This window comes from Homo sapiens, chromosome 3 (assembly GCF_000001405.40).
Source record: "Homo sapiens chromosome 3, GRCh38.p14 Primary Assembly".
NCBI classification, from domain to species: Eukaryota; Metazoa; Chordata; class Mammalia; order Primates; family Hominidae; genus Homo; species Homo sapiens.
In genome coordinates this window covers 129,377,857-129,400,567 of record NC_000003.12, presented here as the reverse complement: position 1 = coordinate 129,400,567, position 22,711 = coordinate 129,377,857, and the positions used below count along the sequence as shown (strand labels likewise).

Below are 22,711 nucleotides of genomic sequence, written 5' to 3'. Positions count from 1 at the left end.
TGGAACTATCCCTGTCAAGATCGCCAGTGACATCTGTACTGTGTTCCAGGAGTGGAATCTAGGAGGTTTTTTTCCTCCTGAAATTTGATTTTCAAAATAATCTTAAAAACAAAAGCTAAGGGCTGGGCGCGGTGGCTCACGCCTGTAATCCCAGCATTTTGGGAGGCCAAGGTGGGCAGATCACCTGAGGTCAGGAGTTTGAGACCAGGTTGACCAACATAGTGAGACCCTTGTCTCTACTGAAAATTAAAAAAAATTAGTCGAGTGTGGTGGCGCACACCTGTAATCCCAGCTACTACGGAGCCTGAGGCAGGAGAATCCCTTGTCCCTTGAACCTGGGAGGCAGAAGTTGCAGTGAGCCGAGATCTTGCCACTCCACTGCACTCCAGCCTGTGCAACAGAGTGAGACTCCCTCTCAAAAAAAAAAAAAAAAAAAAAAAAAAAAAAGCTAAGCAAATCAAGAACAAGCTTAAAAATTAGACAGTAGCTGGGAACAATGGCTCATATTTGTAATCCCCGCTACTCAGGAGGCTGAGGCGAGAGATCGCTTAAGACCAGCCTGGCCAAAATAGTAAAACCATAACTCTACAAAACAACCAACAAAACAAAGCAAGGTAGTTTAGACTAATGGTTAGAAGCGTGGAGCTTGGAGTAAAATCTCCAAAATTCTCCTTCCACATATGCAAAATAGAGACAATAATAGGTTACATTATAGAATTGTGGTAGGCCCATCGTACGTTAGCGGTTCCGGTCTCATCACTATTTACTATGTAAATTCAGTGAGGGAATTTTGGGAAGTCGGTCTTGATCTCTCCTGACCGCTAGGAAGCGCACTTCGGAGTAGAGGAAACAAGGGCGGAAATAGCCCAAACGCTAGATTGGCTTCAACTTCTGGCGGAAGTAGATTCCTCCCTACACCAGGTCTCAACTCAGAAAGAATTCCAACTTTCTAACTAGTGCCAAGGGCAGGTAAGATAAATTTTCCTTTACATTCTTAGATATTACTCTCTATTAAAACAGTTAAATTCGGCATTTCTGCAGCACTCTTTCTTTGACATGTCTTTTTTTTAAGGACCCGGAGCCGGAAGTGCTTGCCTTTTCCCTGTCAGGACCCAGAGGTTACCTCCCATCAGCCCCGGCGCTCTCTCATCCCTTCTCTCTTCCTTGGTGCTTCTTTTTCCTGCTCGGTGAGTTTGTTTGTTTGTTTGTTTTTGAGACAGAGTCTCACTTTGCTTCCCAGGCTGGAGTGCAGTGGTGCGATCTCAGCTTACTGCAGCCTCCGCTTCCGGGGTTCAAGCGATTCTCCTGCCTCAGCCTGCCAAGTAGCTGGGACTACCGGCGCCCACCACCACGCCTGGCTAATTTTTGAATTTTTAGTAGAGAGTGGGTTTCACTATGTTGGCCAGGCTGGTCTGGAACGCCTGACCTCAAGTGATCCGTCCGCCTCGGCCTTCCAAAGTTCTGGGATTACAGGCGTGAGCCACCGCGCCCGGCCTGAGTGAGTCTTAATCCGTGGCCATCTGCGTTCCTGCAGGCTTCATCTGGCCCTATGGTCCCCTGGTAAGGAGGCCTTCCCTACCACTCTGTGTCTGTGGGTATTGTCGGCTTGCTGGAGCGCGTACACGAACAGAGTGAAGCAGGCAGCCGGGGTGGTGGTTGGGCTTTGCGTCTATTGACGAAAAGAGTCAAACTGTGTAAAGTATTTGAAAAGACTTATTCTGAGTCCAGTATGAGTGACCACGGCCCGTGACAAAGCCCTCAGGAAGTCCTGAGAACATGTGCCCAAGGTGGTTGGGGTGCAGCTTGGTTTTGTACATTTTAGGGAGGTGTGTTGGGGGGCCTGGTCCGGGCTGTTGGTAGATTTGACAATTGGTTGAGTTTGTCTAAAGACTTGGAATCAACAAAAAGGAATGCCTGGGTTCAGATAAGAGGTTGTGGAGACCAAGGTTCTTATTTATGCAGAGGAAGCCTCCAGGTAGCGGGCTTCAAAGAGAGTAGATCGTAAATGTTTCTTACCAGGCCTGAAAAGGTGCCAAAGTCTTAGTGGAGCCTCTCCTGGCTCAGGGAGAAGACCTGGAAAGGGAGGGGGATTCACTACAGGACGTAGATTGTCCCCACAAGAGACAGCTTTACAGGGCCATGTCAGAATATGTCAAAGAAATATATTTTTGGGTAAAGTACTTCTGTTTCTTTCAGGGCCTGCAATCTGTCATGTGATGCTATACTAGAGTCAGGTTGAAATTTGGTGTCTTATTGCTACAAAGTCTGTTTTGTCAGTCTTGGGATCTCTTTTAATGCTAACGCTGGTCAGCTGTGCCTGAATTCCATAGGGAGAAGGGCATAATGAGGCAAGTTCGACCCCACATTCCCATTATGGCTTGAACTAGTTTTTCAGGTTAACTTTGGAATGCCCTTGGCCAAGAGCAGGAGTCCATTCAGTTGGGTGGGGGGCTTAGAATTTATTTTTCGGTTTATACCGTGCTTACTGATGTTGGCCCACGTGCATTCATTCATTGCCATGACCCCACGTTCCTTTCCTTCTAGCCTGTGACCCTAGGGCTGCTGTGGTGGGACTGCAAAAAAAAAAAAAAAAAAAAAAAAAAAAAGATGGGGTGCAGGTCAGCTCACTCAGTTGTTAACAGAGATTTTGATCGTCAGGAGCTCTGGGAATATAAAGATGAAACTTCCCCCTTGCCTTCAAGGATATCATGGGCCAGAAGGCAAAGTTGTTTTGAATACGTGGTTCATTGAGTACCCACTCTGTGCCAACTGATGGCTGCAAAGAGAACAGAAGGGGTGCTGCTGTAGGAAATAAATGAATGGCTCAGAAGACCACACTGAGGAAGTTGTGAGTTGATAATGGAAGATCTCCAGGTTTGAGGCATCCTTAGAGGGATATGATGGTTTTGTGTGTGTTGGGGGTGTGGTAGCGCAGCTGCTACCTAGGGAATTAGAAGGTTTTCTTTATTGAACATTTACCCTGTGACAGGTACTGCAGGCATTCAGCACACAATGTCGTCTCCATTTTACAGGTGAGGAAACTGAGACTCCAGTTCAAGTAGATGGTCAAGGCCAGTACTACCGGAAGGACCATCTGGGGGTTCAGACACTGGCAGGGTGGGATTTGCTGCCCCTTGCAAATTGAGAGTGTCTTGGGGTCAGTTTTGATTTGCTCAGCTGTTGGCATTCTTTGGGCTCTGAGTGGGTGAGGTGACCCTTGACCTCCTGGGATCGCATCTGGAGACTGCCTAGTATTCTGCCAGCTTCGGAAAGGGAGGGAAAGCAAGCCTGGCAGAGGCACCCATTCCATTCCCAGCTTGCTCCGTAGCTGGTGATTGGAAGACACTCTGCGACAGTGTTCAGTCCCTGGGCGGGAAAGCCTCCTTCCAGGATTCTTCCTCACCTGGGGCTACTTCTTCCCCAAAAGGCATCATGGCTGCCCTCAGATCCCTTGTGAAGCCCAAGATCGTCAAAAAGAGAACCAAGAAATTCATCCGGCACCAGTCAGACCGATATGTCAAAATCAAGGTGTGTGGTCCTGGGATGGAAATGGGTGTGGGGTGAAGAAAGGAGTTTCCAACAGGCTGCCAGTTCTGACATCACCTAGTCAGGATTACCTTTGACCGATGAACTGGTTTGTGGAAGAGCTTTCTGTGGAAATACAGGTCTCCCCCAGTGTGCCCTAGTGCTGGTACTTACGTCTCTTGATGTGTGAAGTGAAACTTTAATGAAAAGGGACACTTGGCCATTTTGATATGTTTGGAGGGCTTTGCATTTGTATCATGTATTTTGGGTTGCCTTATGACAGCAGGATCCCTATTTTATAGACAAGAAAACTCAGAGGTGCTGAGAGCAGTGTCTGCACCTGTGCTCGCCATCTCAATATCTACACAGTCCCCTCGCATCCCATTGGTGTCTCCATTTCTTGGGAGTGAGAATGGCGGGGGTGCCTGCCTTCCTAGTGGCAAAAGCCACGAGCTCCTGGTTTTTCCCACCAAAAAAGCATGTAAGGAAATAGTGAAGTCCTATTACCAAAGGCAACTACTGTGTGGCATACTTCCTTTTCATTTGGTCCTTTTTTCCCTCCCCTATGGAACAGTTGGCAGTCTGCACAGATGCTAACCCACCTGTGTATTATTTCCTTCAGCGTAACTGGTGGAAACCCAGAGGCATTGACAACAGGGTTCATAGAAGGTTCAAGGGCCAGGTCTTGATATGATGCCCAGCATTGGTTATAGGAGCAAAAAAAAAAAAAAAAAAAAAAAACCAGAAAGCACGTGCTGCCCAGTGGCTTCCGGAAGTTCCTGGTCCACAATGTCAAGGAGCTGAGAGTGCTGCTGATATGCAACAAGTGAGTTGGGTCCATCTCTGGTTTCAGGGGTCTGAAGTTTGCATCTGTGCGGGCACTTCTGGCAGGAACTCTGGAAACTCTTGGGATGCATTTTGGGAAGCTGACATTCTCTGAGGGAATGTGAAGTCATTCCTTACAGGAGTTTAGAGAATGCTTGTTTGGGGCCAGGTGTGGTGGCTCATGCCTGTAATCCCAGCACTTTGGGAGGCCGAGGTGGGCAGATCACCTGAGGTCAGGAGTTCGAGACCAGCCTGGCCAACTTGACGAAACCCCATCTCTACTAAAAAGACAAAATTAGCTGGGCGTGGTGGTACACGCCTGTAATCTCAGCTACTCAGGAGGCTGAGGTGGGAGAACCAGCAGGAGAGGTTGCAGTGAGCTACGATCGCGCCACTGCACTCCAGCCTAGGGCGACAGTGAAACTCCATCCCAAAAGGAAAAAGAGAATGCTTCTTGGGGAGTTCAGTGTGTTTCCTTTGTTGGAGAGGGGAGAGACTTTTGTCCTCATAGCTGTGGAGTCCCAAGACCAGAAAAATGGACTTTGCTTGACACAGTGAACACAGCAGTAATCACCGGTTTTCAATATAATATCTTTTGGCTGTTGTTTCCAGAATGTTGCTTTATTTATGAGGGAATTTGGGGAAGATCAAACATAGGCCTCAGACTTTAAGAGGCCCTTTATGCTTTGGTAAGGGGTATTTTCAGGGGTACGGAGGCTTTACAACCAAATGTGAACTAGAGGGAGAATAAGAGGAAGACTTTGTGGACAGAGAGTACTTTACACAAAGGTGGAGAGTGCAAGGAGGGGTCACAGGACATTAGTGCTAGGTAGTGTTTACGGTTTGTTTTTAGAGACGTTTCTACTCTGTTGCCCAGGCTAGAATGCAGTGGCCATTAACAGCTATGATGATGGCCTGCTGCACCCTTGAACTCCTGGGCTCAAGTGATCCTCCTGCTTCGCCCTCCCAAGGTGCTGGGATTACAGACATGAGCCACCATGCCTGCACAAGAACAGCAGGTTTAAAAAACTAGGCAAGCTCACGCCTGTAATCCCAGCACTTTTGGGAGGGCGAGGTGGGCGGATCACAAGGTCAGGAGATCGAGACCATCCTGGCTGACACGGTGAAACCCCGTCTCTACTAAAAATACAAAAAAAAAAAAAATAGGCAAGCAGAGGCAGCAGGGGCAGTCTGTGTGGGGTACAGGGGCAGTCTCTGTGTGTGCGCAAGGGTAGTCTCTGTGTGTGTGTGTGCAAGGGCAGTCTCTGTGTATGTGTGTGAGTGTGTGTGTGTGCAAGAGCAGTCTGTGTGGGTGCAGGGGCCGTCGGTGTGTGTGTGTGCAGGGGCTGTCTCTGTGTGTGTATGTGTGTGTATGTGTGTGCAGGGGCAGTCTGTGTGTGTGCAGGGGCTAGCTCTGTGTGTGTGTGTGCAGGGGCTAGCTCTGTGTGTGTGCAGGGGTAGTCTGTGTGTGTGTGCAGGGGCCGTCTCTGTGTGTGTGTGTGTGTGTGTGTGTGTGTGTGTGTGTGCAGGGGCAGTCTGTGTGTAGGGGCCATCTGTGTATGTGTGTGTGCAGGGGCAGTGTGTGTGTGTGTGCAGGGGCAGTCTCTGTGTGTGTGTGTATGTGCAGGGGCAATCTCTGTGTGTGTGTGTGTGTGTGTGTGCAGGGGCAGTCTCTGTGTGTGTGTGGCCTCTGCTCAGCTCCTGGGAAGGGGCTTCTGATCCTCTGTCAACATCAAAGGAGCTGGGCCTTGAAAACCTATCTCAGCCTCCTGGTCTGAATGCAAAGCCATCGGACTCTCTTCCTGGGGCATTTGGTTATGTAAAGCCCTGCGCCAGGTTCCCAGAGTGGGTGCTTCAGCTTTGGGCAGCAGTGGGTCCTATCTCTGGGAACACCGACAGTGACTCCTTGTGTCAGGTAGGTGGGTGTCAGAGTGTCCTCATTTCATAAACAGGGACATTCAGAGGCCTTTGGCCCTTGCCCAATGTCCTGAGGCCAGAGAGCAGTGGAGTGAGCCTAGCCGTCCACAGGCTGTCCCACCCACATGCTCAGGATGCAGGGACTCACCGTAGGAAGAGGCGGAGAAGATGAAGGGCTGGCGGCAGTTGATGCAGACGTTGCCCAGGTTGTTGAGCAGCGGGTTGTTGGTGGAGCAGCGGTAGCACAAGGGCACCAACTCCTACAAAACAGCCACGGACTCCCGAGGGGCCGGGGCAGGCACGTGTCCTCCTCCCCCTGGACTCTGGCTTCGGGCCCCTGGGGCCTGGCTGCCAAGAGGAAAGGCCACCCGGGTGGGCAGGCAGGGAAGGGGTGCCAGGCCCAGGAGCTCCATGCCATGGGGAAGCAGGATAAAGGCCTGCCGAAATACCCAAGCCCTGTCACTTGGGTCCCTAAGAGGTGGGCATGATTATTTCCATCTTGCAGATGAGAAGAATAATGTCTGGGGTGAAGGTGAAGCACCCAGCCCAAGACTCAGCAGCCAGGAAGTGGCCCAGCGCTCTTTATACCACGGGTGCAGGAATTCACACAGAAAAGTGGAGGCCAAGGCGTGAGAATTCCTCAATGACTGCCCTCTAAAGGAAGAGGTGAGTGTGGGGCCTGCTCTGAGTGCTAAACACAGGCAGTCTCTGTGTCTCCCAAGGAACCCAATCGCTATCACATTTGCTTTAAATATTTAGAGACGCACGATTTGTTTCCTTGTCAGTCAAAGCCAAGAGGTGGCATGTGATGACATGCTGCCAAATGCTCAGGGCACAGACGGAAACTTTCATGTCAACCCTGACATAGTCACCACAGATCTCAATGGCCTTGACGTGCTCTCCTGCTGAGATTTACATCCCCACGGTGACTTTGGGCTCTTTCATATTTCTGGCCCAGTCAGCCTGTTTGGTGATTAGCATCTTTGTTTCTTTGGGGTCTCCAGATCCAAAGAAATCCTGAGGAAGCACAACAAACAAAAACACTCTGGATCAGAACTTCCTGTGCCAGCGTTACATCAGGGTTTTCTAGCAGCAAGGGCGGGCTCCACATGGCTGAAGCAGGCAACCAGGAGGTAGGCAGGGCCCGGCCCTGAGGGGCTGAGTTGGGGGAGTCCCAGGTCTCGGGAAGAGTGATCTCAGGCTGCCCTGCAGGTGTTCCTGGGGGATCCTGGGACAGCATCAGGGACGCTGGCCCCCAGTGCTTCCTTCCCATCTCACAAATGGGCATTTGTTCATCGGCTAAACAACACTTTCTAGACTATTTGGGGCACTGCACATGAAGTCTGCAGGGTCGGGGGTTCATGATCAGGCTGTCTCTCTCTCACATAGTTTGGTAAATACAGGACTGTTCCTAAACAGCAATGAGACAACCTGGTGCACAGTTCCACATATCGAGACCTGTCATCTTATTCAGATCATATGGGTGATACCACATGCTTCAGAGTGAGGCTGAGCATGGGTTCCCCTAAACTTACACAGACAAAATGACTTACAGTGTTTGCCGGCCCTCCGTGCCCTCCATGCCCTCTCTGAGTCACCAGCAAACATTCTGTGCCCTGAACTAGAGAATCATCACATTGTCTTTGCCCCAGTTACTTTCCTGGAACAGATAACAAGCAAACCTCTCTCTGGTTAGTTGCTTCTCGGCTGAATGGTTAGGGATCCTGTGCTGAGGTCAGGTCTGCAGGGGTGAGAACCTGATCCGACAGTGGGACAGCAGGAGGCCATGGGGGGATCTGAGGCAGGGAAGGTGCTCAGGAGAGGACCTGAGAAGGAAGAGATGGCTGTGGTCCTGGAGGCTCAGGGATCAGGCCTAGGGCCTGTGTTCCTTCGGCCTCAGCATACCTCTGAAGCGGTATGCCCAGCTTCTCTGGGCAGGCCCTACAATGTGTGAGAAACAGCCTCAGAACACCACCTCTTTTCAGGGTAGTTACCCAAAATACACACGTGGGAGTTTGCCAGAGTTGAGGCAGCTTTTAAAGGTGGAGCTTTTCAAAAAGGGAAACTGGGAGCACTTACAGCCCAGGTCTATGTTACTGGTAAGAAGTGGTTTGTCTCAGGAATAATGTACCCTGTGGAGAGTACTTTGTGTCAGCCTCACTGAGAACAAAAAAAGCACTCCTTTCCCCATGATTAACACTCATGTGTCAGGAAAGTACAGTCAATGTATGCTAAAAATCCACTTGAACAATTAGCTCGCTTTTTTCCCTCATTTGCTTTCAGAGTAAATGTGCTTTCAGAGTATTAGGTCGGCCTAATATATGATACATTTTAAGAAGGGGAGGAAAGCGCATTGTATACCCTGATGCTGGGACCCAATAGAAGACAGGCCCCCTGGCTGGCCTTTGGTTCTCCCTGGAGCTGACAAAGGGAAGGGGCTTGGAAAGCAGCCACTGTCCCCGCCTAGTTTGGGCCTTTACAGACACACCTTTCCTTTTGGCAGCTGCTATGGCACGGATTCTCTATGCCAGCACGAAGCTGGAAAACCTGCCTACCTGGCTGGTGAAATGAGGGTGGCAGCTGGAGGAAACAGGCATCTTAGGAGACTAGAAATGTCCTTCAAAGGGACTTCAGTGAGTGCTCAGGGGACCAGGGGTGACTGTGTTAAGAAGGGTTAGAGGTTGAGAGGGAGCCATGAGCTTGGGTCATCACCCCAGTGAGACCATCCAGGCACACAGCTCCCAGGCTTGGGAGGCCGCCTCCAGTCCACCAGGACCCTCAGGGAGCTGTGACTTCATTGAAGCTGGGTCTAAAGGCTTCCTTCAAGGCTCAGCAAACTGGGTTTTCAAAGATTTTTGATCCCTGAAGCTAATTTACACGTTATGTGGGGCCATGGCAAAGACTTGGCCCTGAAGTGGACAGAAAGAGGCTGTGCTGAGTGATGAATGAGACTAAACAGTGTTCTCATGCTTGGTGATTTTGATGAGAACATACTACATAAGAGTTAAGAGCATTATAATTCCCTTTATCACCATATAAACATGTCACTTATCCGGAAAGCATACAATTTATTTGTACATGAGAATGTAAATTTAAAAATTTTCTGAAAACTAGATTAAATCTTGAGAAGCAATTTTCAAGTAAACAAAAACATGCCATGTTAATCAGCACTAGATCTCCCCCACCCCCCACATAATGTGTATGTACACATTTCTCAAATTCAGACTGCAGTACAGCTGTCTCCTTGGAGGCGTCAGGGGTTCCTAAGCCTAAATTCTACCTCTAGGGTCTTGATCCCTCAAGAGTTCATCCTGAGTTAAAATTTTGTTATCCCCGGAAGCAGAGATGCACTGACTCTGGTGATCTCAGTATGAATGTGGTATGAAATCTTCTAGGTGTCTGTGGTGGGGCCTGAGGGAGGGTAGGAAAGGTGACGAGGAAAAAGTAGAGGGAGCCTGAACACCCTGGGTCTCAGGTACGGAGTGAAGAAATCACTAAGGTGAAAAGACAGGCTGGGGCCCAGGAGCTCGTCCAAGTCCTGATGAACAACAAGTCCTGGGCAACATCACAGGCCACCAAACACACCTTCAGCTCCAGGGTCGAATAGATGGTGGAAGAGCACAGCCATCTGGAAAATCAGAAAAAAGTGGGGAAGATTTTCTATCTTGAACTTGTGAGCTGGAGAATTACCATTAGTAGCCCACTAATAGGTTATGGCCGATGAGTCCCTTCATAACACACTGAGAGCCACTTTTGACACTCCCAGAAAAGGCAGGTTAACAAAACCCCTTGATGGAAGGAAGACCCTCATTGCCCAATGTACCCAAGCCTCTTTGAACCTTGCTTAGACTGAACTGCAAATGTCTTGACTGCTCTGGGCTCCTTAGTGCAACTCCTTCCCACAGAAGCCATCAGGAGCCTGGTCCAGGAAGCTCCTCTCCTACACCTGCCTTAAAAGGCCCAGCTCTGCTGGGGAGTAAGGTTCATGGGGGCCGTCCCAATGCAAAAGGGAATCTCTGCCATCACCCACTGCAACCACATGGTAGCCACTCTGCAGCCGGCAGGCGTGAGGCATGCTGCGCTAACATGGGAGGGCGGAGGCTCTGCCTGACTTCCCAGAAGCCCAGTGAGAAGTCCAGGACAATCAGCAGGTGCTATGGGAACCTTGGCTGGCAGGCACCATGTCGTCCTGTATGATCGGCAGGACCGGCTCCTTCCTGAAGACACCGATTCTTGGCGGCTCCTGACAAGGATTGAGAGGATTTGTGGGGGACAGCCCTGAAGCCCTGAGCCCTCAACTCAATGAAGGGATTGTGCTGGTGTAGACCCACAGCCATCCAGCTCTGTCACTGATGAAGGTCTGAACTGCCATACTCTGCCCCTTTGGTGTCAGCCTTAAAGGTCAGTTTTAGGTGAGTTTCAACCAGTGGCTGTAGATGGGTCCTTTGTTTACCAGTTTCCCCACATCCTGTCTGAGACCATTGCTAGTTTTTGTCTGCACCAGTCTTAGGGAAAACAACCTGGACACCGTGGGTGAGATCACCAGTGGGCTCCAAGCCAGAGCATGGGCCTGGGACAGGGTGGGTTACCTTGGCATACTCTAACATACTCAAACCTCATTTCTTTTGGGGTGATCAGACCCAACAGCAGGTCATGGGGGCGACGAAGTCCAGTGGAGTCCAAGGAATGAGAAAGACAGTTTGAGAGACAAAATGGGACCAGGGGGCTATCACAAGTGTGGAGGCTGCAACAAACAGGTGGTGAGGATGTGGGGGTTGAAAGGAAACGGTGTATCAAGTGAATGAGAAACATATGGCTACTTGAGAACATGGGAATGCTAGAAGCAAGGAGCAGCAAGTCTAGCAAACATGCAAGCCCTGCCTCAGCTTCTCTCCCAACACTCAGCTTTTCTTCCAACACATTTCATGTGCAAGGTTCTCGTGCCCACTCCTCTTGTACAGTTTGGCAGCCTCATGGAGCTTCCCTGGTAGGAAAACACATCTGCCAGAAACAGGTCATTGTTGGTCTCTCCCCGCTTCTTCCTCTCCTGGAAAAATTAGAAGCAAAGGAAATGGCCTCTGCAGCCATGGGCAGAAAGCAGCCTTTACAAAGGTTAGATGTGGCTATTTCAAGTGAGGCCCCTGGGCCTTCCTACTGGAACCTGGGCTTGGCTCCTGGCTGTTGTCTCTCTCCCCTAGGTTCCCGCTGGGAAGGCTTGATAACAAAAGCAGGCTTTTACCAGACAAGCAAAGATCAAAAAAAGATGCAAACCTTTGTTTGTTTAATGGAAATTCCTCAGGGTTGCTTTCCTGTGTATTCCAAAGCTATGACGGAATAGTTTGAATAGTGTGTGCTCTGACTCATCCATGACCCCTAAGCTCCCAAGATCTCCCAAATCCGCAGGCCCCGTTTGGCAGAGTTGTGGCTCATGGGGATGACAGAGCAGAATGTTTAGGGTTTCTGCCCAAGAGGGAGACCAATAAAATAGGATGACAAGTCTTACGATGTCCCTACTTCTAAAGAGAAGGTAAGAAATCCCGTGCTGAACATCCACTAGGTTCTGGGTATATACTTTATACACACATGGCCCCTTTATTCCTCTCAGTGACCCTCAGGGTAGGTCTCACTACCCAAGTGTTAGAGTGAAGGACGCTGAGACCAAGAAGAGGAACAGGTCAGGGTCAGACAGAGCTGGAATTTGGACACAGTTCTGTCTGACTCCAGATATTCCTTGTATCACACAATACTGTCTTCTGAAGCAAGTGATTGTCCCCAACACACACACACACACACACACACTCTCTCTCTCTCTCTCTCTCTCTCTCTCTCTCTCTCTCTCTCTCAGCAGAGCTGAGGATAAAGAGGAATATCCTGCACACTTCTTCCTTCTGTGTCAGGGAACATTTGCTTGTCTACAGCTCGAGTATTTGTAAACACTCAGTAGCACCCAAACCCTGAGCCCTAGCAGTTTCCTTTTGCTTGTTTACTAGCAAGAGTAGCATGTCGGAGGACGATGAGACATTGAATCAAACTCTTAGACAAGCTGGTGAAAGTTTTAACGACTGCTGGAGGCAACATGCTTCCACACTGACAGAAATCATCTTTCAAAAATCCTGCACATATCTCAGGCTTATGAAACAAACTAATTCCTAATAGTTGGAAATGAATTAAAAGCTTGCGGTGAGATAAAAGATAGATTTTGGCTGGATGTGATGACTCATGCCTGTGATCCCTACACTTTAGGAGGGCACAGCAGGAGGATCGCCTGAGCCCAGGAATTCAAGACCAGCCTGGTCAACATAGCAAGACTCTCTCTCTGCAAAAAAAAAGAAAAAAAAAAAAACCTCCCAAAAAAAAGGTTTTACTAGGCATGAAAATGAGTCCATTTCCATTCTAGGCCCCAGGATATCACCATGACCAATAAAAACAATCTGTGGCACTCAGCAGGTGCATGTCAACATGGGCAGGTTCTTTCTCCCCGTCAGCAGGACAAGAACATCTCCCCTATCCAAAAGGCACCCACTGAGGATCCGCAGTTCTCTGGAATTATGCTGAGCACCCAGATGTGTGCAACTAAGCCCTGAGCAGTCGATGTGGAGCGCACTTGAAGGCACTTCATTTTTTTTTAAGATACACTCTTAGGAGTTTACTTTAACCCACTTCCCAGCTCATAGCACACGAGGAGAGGCAGACATTTTAACCTTGGTAAGACCTGACAAATGACAATAGTTGGACCCCACAGCAATCATTACTTTTGTAGACAGCAAAGTTATGCTCCTTGGCTTCAGGTGAAGACCCCCAGATCCAGGCCAGTGGATTTACAAGTGAGAGTCAGCAGCACTGGGCATTTCAGGCAATAGCTCTGAACAAGCCCTTTACCATGCGGGTAGGTAAACCCCAGAATATACAGATGCCCCTTACGATACATGGGTGGGGAGGGTATGTGGCCGAGAGAGCATAAGCTTAGGAGACAGAGTGGATTTGAATTCCACTGAGCTTTTGGCTGTGGACCCATGGGGACGTGGCATATGTCTCGCTGAGCCTTAGTTTCCTCCTGCATGGAATAGGGAGAGCAATAGTACCTGCCTCATTCAGCTAACGTGAGGATCTAGAGCAGCATTTGCATAAATGACGCGTGGGGCACAGAGCAGACTCAACACAGAGCAGCTTACGTTATGAGGCTTGGCAGGCTGGGAGCTCCTGTCGGCCTCTCTCCTCAGCTCTGTGCCCACTGAGCTCGGCACAAGGGTTGGCCCATGACAGGTGTTTATTATGTGGAAATAAATGAGAGGGACAAGACATTTGCTGATTTCTTCACTGTTTCCAACTGGGAATTCAAATGTATCTCACGTTCCCATACCCTCACAATAAATCTGTTCAGGAGAAAAAATGTGTACGCCTTTTAACAGACAGCACTGAGATATACAGAAAGTAAGAACTTTCAGGCTGGGCGCGGTGGCTCACGCCTGTAATCCCAGCACTTTGGGAGGCTGAGGCGGGTGGATCACGAGGTCAGGAGATCGAGACCATCCTGGCTAACACAGTGAAACCCCGTCTCTACTAAAAATACAAAAATTAGCCAGGTGTGGTGGCGGGCACCTGTAGTCCCAGCTACTCAGGAGGCTGAGGCAGGAGAATGGCGTGAACCTGGAAGGCGGAGCTTGCAGTGAGCCAAGATCGCGCCACTGCACTCCAGCCTGGGCGACAGAGCAAAACTCCGTCTCAAAAAAAAAAAAAGAAAGAAAGAACTTTCTGTCTAAGGGCAGGGCGTGGTAGCTCAAGTCTATAATGCTAGTACTTTGGAAGGCTAAAGTGAGCTAATTGCTTGAGCCCAGGAATTTGAAACCAAACTGGGCTACATGGCAAAACCCTGACAATACAAAAAATACAAACAAAGTTAACCAGGCGTGGTGGTGTGCACATGTGGTCCCAGCTACTTGGGAGGCTGAGGTGTGAGGATTGCTTGATCCCAGGAGGTCTAGGCTTCAGTGAGCCATGATTGTGCCACTGCACCCTGGCCTGGGGAACAGAGTGAGACCCTGCCTCAAAAAAAAAAAAAAAAAAAAAGAATAAAAGGAATGGTGTCTACCACCACCCAGCGCCCAGTTTCATTAGCCCACTGCAGGCCTATTGGGTTGGATGACAAACTGAATATTCTCAGCCAGGAACAGTAGGGCTGGGAGTTGCTCCAGAACTCTGGGGCGCTCAGTTCAGACTGTGGGCCTTGCTCCCCAGGTCCATTTCTGGGGAATGGAGCTCAGCTCATGTGCATTTGGGAAACTCCTCCAGCGCTATCAGATTACTGGAGTCTGAGAGGATGGTGACCAGCTATCCGCCACCAGGAGGATGCAAACCAGTTCCTGAGAACCTACTGAATCCTCACAGCAGCCTGTGACGTAGGTCCAATCCCTTTTCACAGACAAGAAACCCAACCCTGGAGAGATCGGGAACCCATCTGCCTCAGTCAGTTACCACGTGACAGCTCACACTGCCCACTGCTGTCTCCTACTGTGTGGCCACTCTGCCCCTGGAGCAAGGCTGTGGCCCAGATGCCCAGACGCCAGTGAGCTCTGCTCCCGTGTCCTCAGGGCTTTTGCCTGCTGATATGGTTTGGCTGTGTCCCCACCCAGATCTCATCTTGAATTCCCATGTGTTGTGGGAGGGACCCCGTGGCGGGTAATTGAATCATGGGGCAGGTCTTTCCCATGCTGTTCTCATGATAGTAAGTCTCACGAGATCTGATGGTTTTAAAAAGAGGAGTTCCCCTGCACAAGCTCTCTGTTTGCCTGCTGCCATCCATATAAGCTGTGACTTGCTCTTCCTTGCCTTCTGCCATGATCATGAGGCTTCCTTAGCCATGTGGAACTGCAAGTCTAATTAGACCTCTTTCTTTTGTAAATTGCCCAGTCTCACGTACATCTTTTCCAGCAGCGTGAAAATGAACTAATACACCTGCCACAAGGGCTGCCCCTGAACCCCGAACCCCAAGTCCACTTTCTTGACAAGTAAGAATGCTTCAACTTTTACCTCAATGCTGCTGATGAGGTCTTGTACTCTGATGAAAGCCTGTGGGGAATAATAAAATCAGCTGCCTTCTTGGCTTCAAAAGTGGGTGACTGGCTGGGGGTGGGAAGTCAAGCTCACCTAGACAGTGAGCCACAGAGGAGAGGAAGGGAGCAAGCACAAATTAATCATCGTGCGTGCAGGAGGTTATACCACCCAGTGAGGCGCGGCTTTATCCCCAAAATTGGATCATGCAAAGAACAGCAAAGACATCCCGGTTGCATCAGTCATTTTGGGATCAGGTAAAACAAAACCGCGATGCCACAGTCTGTGGCGGTGCCTCCTTGGGAGACTCTCGAGCCAAAGAAGAAGCCAGTTTGACCCTCGGCGGGGGGCGGGGGGGGCGGGCAGGCAGCATCACAGCAAGAGAGAGAGAGATGCATGGACTGATGAGAGACTGCCTATACATCTTGGCGACATGGGTAGAATGCAGGGGACAGCTGTGCCTACCCAGTCGTGCCACAGACACAGGGGACCCAGAGCACCTGGTACTGCAGAGGGCGTGGAGGAGGGGAAAGCTGAGAGGGCATAAACACAGATTCTTGGAGAAGGTGGAGGGGTAGGGAATGAATCCCGCCAAGTCTGTGGAAGGCAAACTCTTATATAAATCCTAAAATTGCAGCCCTTGCCTTGAACTCACAGTAAAGCCAGAGACTTTAACTCATGGACCTCTAGAAGTTTCTGAGGAACAAGCAGACTGGTGTTAGCTAAGCTAGTTTTGCTGCTTTCAGATTCTGCCCAGGGTTTGGAGGAGCACAAGCCACCAGGTCAGGCTGCTTTCAGGTGGCTTTGCTGTCACCATTTATCGCCCCATTCAAAATGGGCTGACCTGTGCCTAGAGGAGGCAGCAGCTCCAGAGCCCTTTGAACCGAACACGCAGAGCAATCCTGACCACTTGCAGCCTCTGCTCAGCAGCATGGCATCCTCCCTCCTGAAAAGACCTCAGGGGATGAGCGAGTCCCCAGCCTCTGGCTGCCTTGCAGGTGACCACAATGCAACTTCATCTTTTCATCCCACAGGACCAGGCTTCCTGTCAGAGACTGAGGACCCAGGAAGAAACATGTCTCGGCCCCTGTCCCCCTCCACAATTCAGAGGCCACATTCTAACAGGGGAGGCTGACCAATTAAACAGATAATGACACCTCCTAGAGCTAAGAGCTCTCCGACTATGAACCAGATGCCTGGAGAACACGGATGAATGGTCTGAGCATGAGCAGGGGTGGGAGGCAGCGTTAAGGGAGGCATCAGAGTCAGAACCTAGCAAACAAGTGTTTGTGAAGAAGAATTCATAGAAAAGGGCAATGCGGGCATCACATGGGCTAAGGAACAGAGGGGTAGCAGTAGCTGTTGTGCCAAGCTGCAGGTGTTATACACTACCCTCTAGATCTGGGTTTCCTTAAAACACCTTGAGAGGACAACCCTGCAAAGCACGGCACAGTGGCCGAGAGGGAAAGGAGCATTCGAGGTCTCAGTCCTCGCTCTGAGCCTACTTCTCTGCTTCTGGGCTCCAGCCATCTTTGTGGAAAGGGGGCTGCTAGTGACACCCTCTCAAGGGTCTTTCCAGCTCTAGGTCGGCTGTGCTGGAGTCTAGGATTTGCCCACTGAGAAATCTGTTTCCAAGTTCCTTCAACCTGATGCATCCTGCAGCATCACGGCAGCTGTTCAGAGTGGTCAGAAGGCCCCTGAATGAGCTCAGTAGAGGGAAGCCTGGGAACAGGGAGGCACCTGCAGCTCTACTCATGGCCTGGCCAGAGCTCAGCAGCTCTTCTCTGCCATCTAGTGGGGATGGCATACCATCACTGGGGACCACCCTGTGCAAACTGGTGAGCCTGAGTGCCTGTCACAGAGGGAAAGAAAGGGGGGGGATACAGGATTTAGATGAAATAGCAACTCCTACCCTATTGTCAAAATCATCCAGCTTTTTCAAAACATCATATTGTACTGATTTTTTTGTGTTTTTGACAGAGTCTTGCTGTGTCACCAAGGCTGGAATGCAGTGGCATGATCTCGGCTCACTGTAGCCTCTGTCTCCCTGGTTCAAGCAATTCTGCCCCAGCCTCCCAAGTAGCTGGGACTACAGGCATGCGCCACCACACCCAGCTAAGTTTTGTATTTTTTTAGTAGAGTCAGGGTTTTACTTTGGCCAGGCTGGTCTTAAACTCCTGGCCTCAACTGATCTGCCTGTCTCGGCCTCCCAAAGAACTGGGATTACAGGCATGAGGCACCGTGCCTGTCCCATGTTGTACTTAATAGATATTTACCATATACAATTATTTTTTAATTTAAATAAATCAATGAACAGTGTTATTTTTTAAATCTTGTGGCTTTAATACACCCTTTCAATTCTCAGGGAGTGTTTTGGTGATACAGGCTGGGGAGTTAAATAAATGAACGAATAAACTTAGTTGTTATCCATTCAAATATTTGTTGAGCACCAACCTGTCTAAGGCACTGTGCTAGGCAGTGTGCAGTGTTATTAAGATGAGGTACGTGTTTGGTTCCTGGGTGTAAGGAGGTGACAATCTAGAGGGAAGGTTCTTAATTTCATTCTGTGCCCAAAACAACACCTATTCTGGGGATTTGTCATCTTCCTCCCTGCTGGCATTTCTGGGTGGGGCAGGAGAGGGAAGCTCCCTCCATGGGGATGCCTCCTCCCTCCTCTGAATCTTACAGCTTCCTCCATCTCCACTTTCCTACACTGGGGACATCTAAAAATATAATCTTGATCATTGTGTAACAATGTTCAAGTAATGGCTAGCATCTGCACAACCATCCCTGCTTTAAATTCCCCTTTACAACATCTCAGTTAAGCCTTGTGACTGCAGTGGGCATTCTCACTACCCCCATTTCAGAACTGGGAGGACCGGGGCTCTGAGGGAAGCCGCTGGCCTGAGGTCCCAGAGCCCCTTACGTGACACAGCTGGCTCTCAGCCGGCTTCTGAGTCCTGGTCTGGTCCAGTCTCCTCTCTTCATGCCTACAAGTCTTGATCTAACCCAAGGCGGGCATCACGTCCCTCTTTGCCACTCCTTCAATGTCAGCCCAGGAATATGGACAAAATGAGCAGCTCCTTAATTGACTGTGGGGAGATAAAGAGGGAAGGGGTAGGGGAGTGGAGGTTGGAAGCCATTCCTTCCTCCATCTGAGGTTCTAGATGGAAACACAGCTCAGGAACATACCTGGGCCTTTCCTTATGTGCAGAGAGGGGTCAGATGTTTTCAGCCATCTCTCTAGCTTTCATAGACTAGGCCAGGAAAGGACACAACGAATCAAGTCCATGAATCCCGCCATGAAGGTACGTGGGAAGTGCCCACATTGCTGTCAGAATCAGAGACCTTGACCATCTCTCCCACCTTAGTTGGCAGATGCTAAGAAAAGCAGCATTGTGTGCAGCATCATGGCCAGTGACTACACCGATAATAAAAGCCGCCATTTACGGAGTGCCTGTGATGTGCCAGGCTACTAGTCAGGTGCTTCCCATAGAGAACAGCTAATAAGAGTGACAGCCAGAATCTGACATGCTGCTCCTGGGTCAGGCTTTACAGGCATCCTCCCATTTGATCCTCACAGCTTTGTGAGGATGGGGCCTGTCATCACCCTACGTCTATAGAGAAGCAATCTTAGAAAGGGTGTCACCTACCCAGGCCCACAGTGAGGAAGTGGCTAAGATACAAGCCCAGGTCAGCCTAACTCCAGAGACTGCTGCAGTCTATGGCCTCTCCGTGCCACCTGCGTCCCCATCTGCCTTCTTAAGGGACCCCACAAGGACCAAACTCCAGCTCCTGCTGGCTAGATGCTTACCTTCTTTGCTGTTTCAAAATCTAAACCTAGCGCTTCCATGGCCAGTGCACGCCAATCAGTGTCTGTGACACCCAAGCAAGCAATCTGGTAGGCTTCCTTGAACAGTTTCCTATCCAGGTACTGGTACATGGGAGCAGACTGCAGGATTTCATCAAGGGAAAAAAAGACTGTTTTCAGGGCCATGGAAAGAACCAGATGCATACAGAGCCTGCCTCCAGATGCGTGGGACGATTACCCATGCCTGGGGAGCAGCCCTGCAGCCGCCAATCAGCACCCTGCCCAGCCTGCCCAGCCCACCCTGTGTGCTCCGTCCTGCACCTCTCTCATGACTGGGCTACTGTGCTCCACAGCACAAACTCTGCCCATCCTCCCCTCCTTCCCACCTGCAGGCCTGCCTCACCATAGGATGTTACCCTCGTCTGGAATGCCTTTGCCCCTCCCCACTCTCCCTCTGAAAAATACCTATTTGGCTTTCAAGGCCCTGTTGAAATGTCACCTCTTCTGGAGAGTCCTCCTGAGCCCCTCAAGCCCCCACCCCAGGGGAAGGAGTCTCAGCTTCCTCTGCCCTTTGTCCAGATTTCGGGTTGTGATGCAGTTATAGGCCTGTTCCTACAGCAAGGCGGTGCATAGCCCATGGGCAGTGATGGGTTGTACCCGCCACCTTTGGCAGGCCCCCAGTCTATGTTTGCTGACAGAATGAATGAGTTCCTGGGAGGAAGGGGTCTGGGATGGCCTCTTCTTCCAGGGACTGAGTCCAAGAAAGGTAAGTGATTTGCTCCAAGTTACCCTGGAAACCCCTGGAAACAGGTCTCCTGCTCCCTGCCCTGGGGACAGATGCCATCCTACAAGATGGGGTTGCCTTGCTGTGAGTGCCCATGAATAGTTCCTAACGACTTCTCTTTCTTAGGTTTATAAAGGGCTTTTGGCTGTCCCCATAGTCCTGTACAGTAGATATTATTTCTCCCTGGCTACAGCCCAGGAGACCGAGACTCAGAGAGGACAACTGACCTGTCCCAGCAAATAGCTGGCAATAGCCAGAGGTGACTTGACTCCAGGTTCTGTGCCCCTTCCTGCCACGTATGTGGTCATGTGTATATGTGCATATGTGTGTACATGTTACTGGTGGAGGGTCTTGACCACAAGCCATCAGGTTCTTGGTGTTTTCAACAAAGAATTGAACAAAACACACAAAGCAGTGAAGGAATGAAGCAACAAAAGCACAGATTTATTGAAACCAAAGTACACTCCACAGAGTGACAGCAGGCTTGAGGAAGTGGCTCAAGAGCACCAGTTGCAAAATCTTCTAGGGTTTGAGTACCTTCCAGAGGTTTCCCATTGGTTACTTTGTTATACCCTACGTAAATGAAGGAATGGTCCACAACCATTGTGATTGGTTGCAGGAGGGGACCAATCAGAGGTACTTTTTTATTTTTTATCTGCTATGTAGTGCAAAGGGAGTAGCCTCTGATCCTTTTGTTACTTGGGTGTGAAGAGGTGAGGTTTTCCTTTTGATTCAGTTCTAGGAAGTCAGCATGAATCGGCCTTAGGTTCCCTCCCTCCAGACCCTATTCTCCTGCGTCATGCGGGAACAAGAACGAGTCTGAGTTTGGCCGGGACATCTTCAACAAGGAAAGGCCTTGCCCTTGTTTTAGGCCAGCCAGTGTGCTTCGGGGGCCTGCATCTCTCCTGGCTTCCTGGGCAGGAAAGAGCAGTCACCTGGGACCTCTGTGCTAATGGTTCCCAAATGTGGATGTGGAAGTGCTGTTTTCTCTGTTTGGGGTCTTTATCTTTGAAATTTCCAGTCCCATCTTTTAGTTTTAGTATTGAAGGCAAGTTTTTTCTCTTTAAGCTTGTGTAAACCAAAAGTAAAACTCTAAGCCCTCTGTGCCTCCATTGAATGAACCCCTCCCCTTGGAGAAGGGGAATTCCAAAAAACCCCTAAAAAACTAGTTCCAACCATCATGGGCATAAGGGGTCAGACTTGCCTCATTTTACCCTCCTCCCTTTAGAGTTTAGACACAATAGACCAGTATTAACAAGAAAACTGGGGTCTCAAGACTGACAAAACAGACTCTGTAGCAATGAGGCAGGATAGTACAGTCTGGAGGCAAGGAACTTAAGGCCAATTCATGCTGAATCAAGGAAAAACACCAAGGTCTGGGGGGAAGCAGGGAATCTGAGGCCAATTTGTGCTGACTTCCCAAAGCTGGATCAAAAGGGAAACACCTGGGTCTGGAGGCAGGGGCCCTAAGGCCAGTTAATGCCAACTTCCTGAAGCTAAACCGAAAGGAAAAACCCAGCTCCCCATGCCTTAGTAGCAAAGGGTCAAAGGTTACTCTTTCTACAACCCTCCCCCTTCCACCATGGCTTAGACAAAAAGGGAGAGTGGCTTGGAGTGGCCACAGGCCAAGCAGGGACCATCCCTTCATCTGCATAGGGTGCCATTCACCTCAGTGTTTACTTAGCCACAGACCAAATCCTTCAACTATATAAGGGGTAACTGATAGGAACCTCAAAAGGAGTGCTTGAAACCCAGAAAACTTTGTAACTGGGCCCTTGAGCTGCTCGGGCCCAGTCCCACCCTGTGGCGTACCTTCTCTCTTTTATAAATCCCTGATTTTGGTACTTCGATCCTGTGTTTCATTCCTTTGTTACTTAGTGCATTTTGTCCAGTTTTTTGTTCAAAACACCAAGAACCTAGACAACTTACACCCAAGGCCCTCCTTCCAGTAACAGCAATAGAACACCGTATTTCAACATGATTCTGATATACCATTGATGGCAGTGGCTGCTCCAGATCACTGTGTTTTGGACAATGAAATGTAGCCAACTGTTCAACTGTAGCTCCCAGCTGCAGCAGGGAGACGTGGCTGGGGTTGCACACTCCATGAAGCCCTTCCAAGTTGGGGTGGGAGCTCCCCAGGTGCCACTGCAGCTGCCCAAACCATTGGGTTGCAGACCTGGGCCTCCCACTCCACAGAGCAGGCAGGAGCCCTGCCCTCCGGGGCAGGGCTGTAGCTGCCCAACTTGTGGCTGCAGGTCTGAGCCTCCCTGTGCTCTTGGGAGGCCAGGAGCAAGCAGGATCCCTGCCCTCCCAGGCACAGCTGTAGCTGCCTAAACCATGGCTGCAGACTCAGGCACCCCTGCACTCTTGAGGGCCAGGAAGCATCCCTTCCCCTTGCAGGCTCAGCAGTGCCTGCTCCCATTGCCTGGCTTCTCCCTGCTGTTGTTGCCCACTCCAATCTTGGAGGAATGTTGGGGCCAAGCTCAGGTGTCATGAAGGCAGCAGGAGGCAGACAGATTCCTGGATGGAAGGGGGCCGGTCCCCAGTGAGGCCCCACCTTCAGGCCAGGGAGGGTCTGAAGGCTGGGAACCAAGGCTGCCAGTCTCATGGACTGGACTGGGAACTTGTGGTGCCTTTTCCAGGCCCACCCAAGTACCAATCAGCATACACTTTTTCCCCTCTGAGGCCCATAAAAACCCCAGGTTCAGCCAGAGCTAAGCAGACTATGGGATGACCAGCTGCAGAGAAGAGCTACCCTTTCTGCTGAGAGCTTCACAGGCCTGCAGAGATGTTGGGAC

The 22,711-nt window shown here is 50.1% G+C and overlaps 1 non-coding gene and 1 pseudogene across 2 annotated transcripts, besides 2 other annotated features; both read left to right on the top strand.

The window, feature by feature from the left end:
- The first annotated feature begins 1,128 nt into the window (after positions 1-1,128).
- Positions 1,129-17,734, top strand: RPL32P3 (ribosomal protein L32 pseudogene 3; annotated as a pseudogene). Its single transcript, NR_003111.2, has 4 exons — positions 1,129-1,560; positions 3,428-3,528; positions 6,773-6,933; positions 16,350-17,734. The product of NR_003111.2 is annotated as a ribosomal protein L32 pseudogene 3 (transcript).
- On the top strand, positions 3,220-3,358 carry SNORA7B (small nucleolar RNA, H/ACA box 7B). Its single transcript, NR_002992.2, has one exon. It is a non-coding gene; the product is annotated as a small nucleolar RNA, H/ACA box 7B (small nucleolar RNA).
- Positions 5,156-5,852: an enhancer, noted in NCBI's record as "H3K4me1 hESC enhancer chr3:129113559-129114255 (GRCh37/hg19 assembly coordinates)". NCBI's record gives its function as "activates a minimal SCP1, AML or CMV promoter by ChIP-STARR-seq in naive H9 embryonic stem cells {active_cell/tissue: H9 hESC(naive)}" and the evidence as "EXISTENCE:reporter gene assay evidence [ECO:0000049][PMID:30033119]".
- Positions 10,955-12,154: an enhancer, noted in NCBI's record as "P300/CBP strongly-dependent group 1 enhancer chr3:129107257-129108456 (GRCh37/hg19 assembly coordinates)". NCBI's record gives its function as "activates an origin of replication core promoter dependent on BRD2, BRD4, P300/CBP, MED14 and CDK7 cofactors, with strong dependence on P300/CBP, by STARR-seq in HCT116 cells {active_cell/tissue: HCT116}" and the evidence as "EXISTENCE:reporter gene assay evidence [ECO:0000049][PMID:35650434]".
- Positions 17,735-22,711: the final 4,977 nt, after the last annotated feature.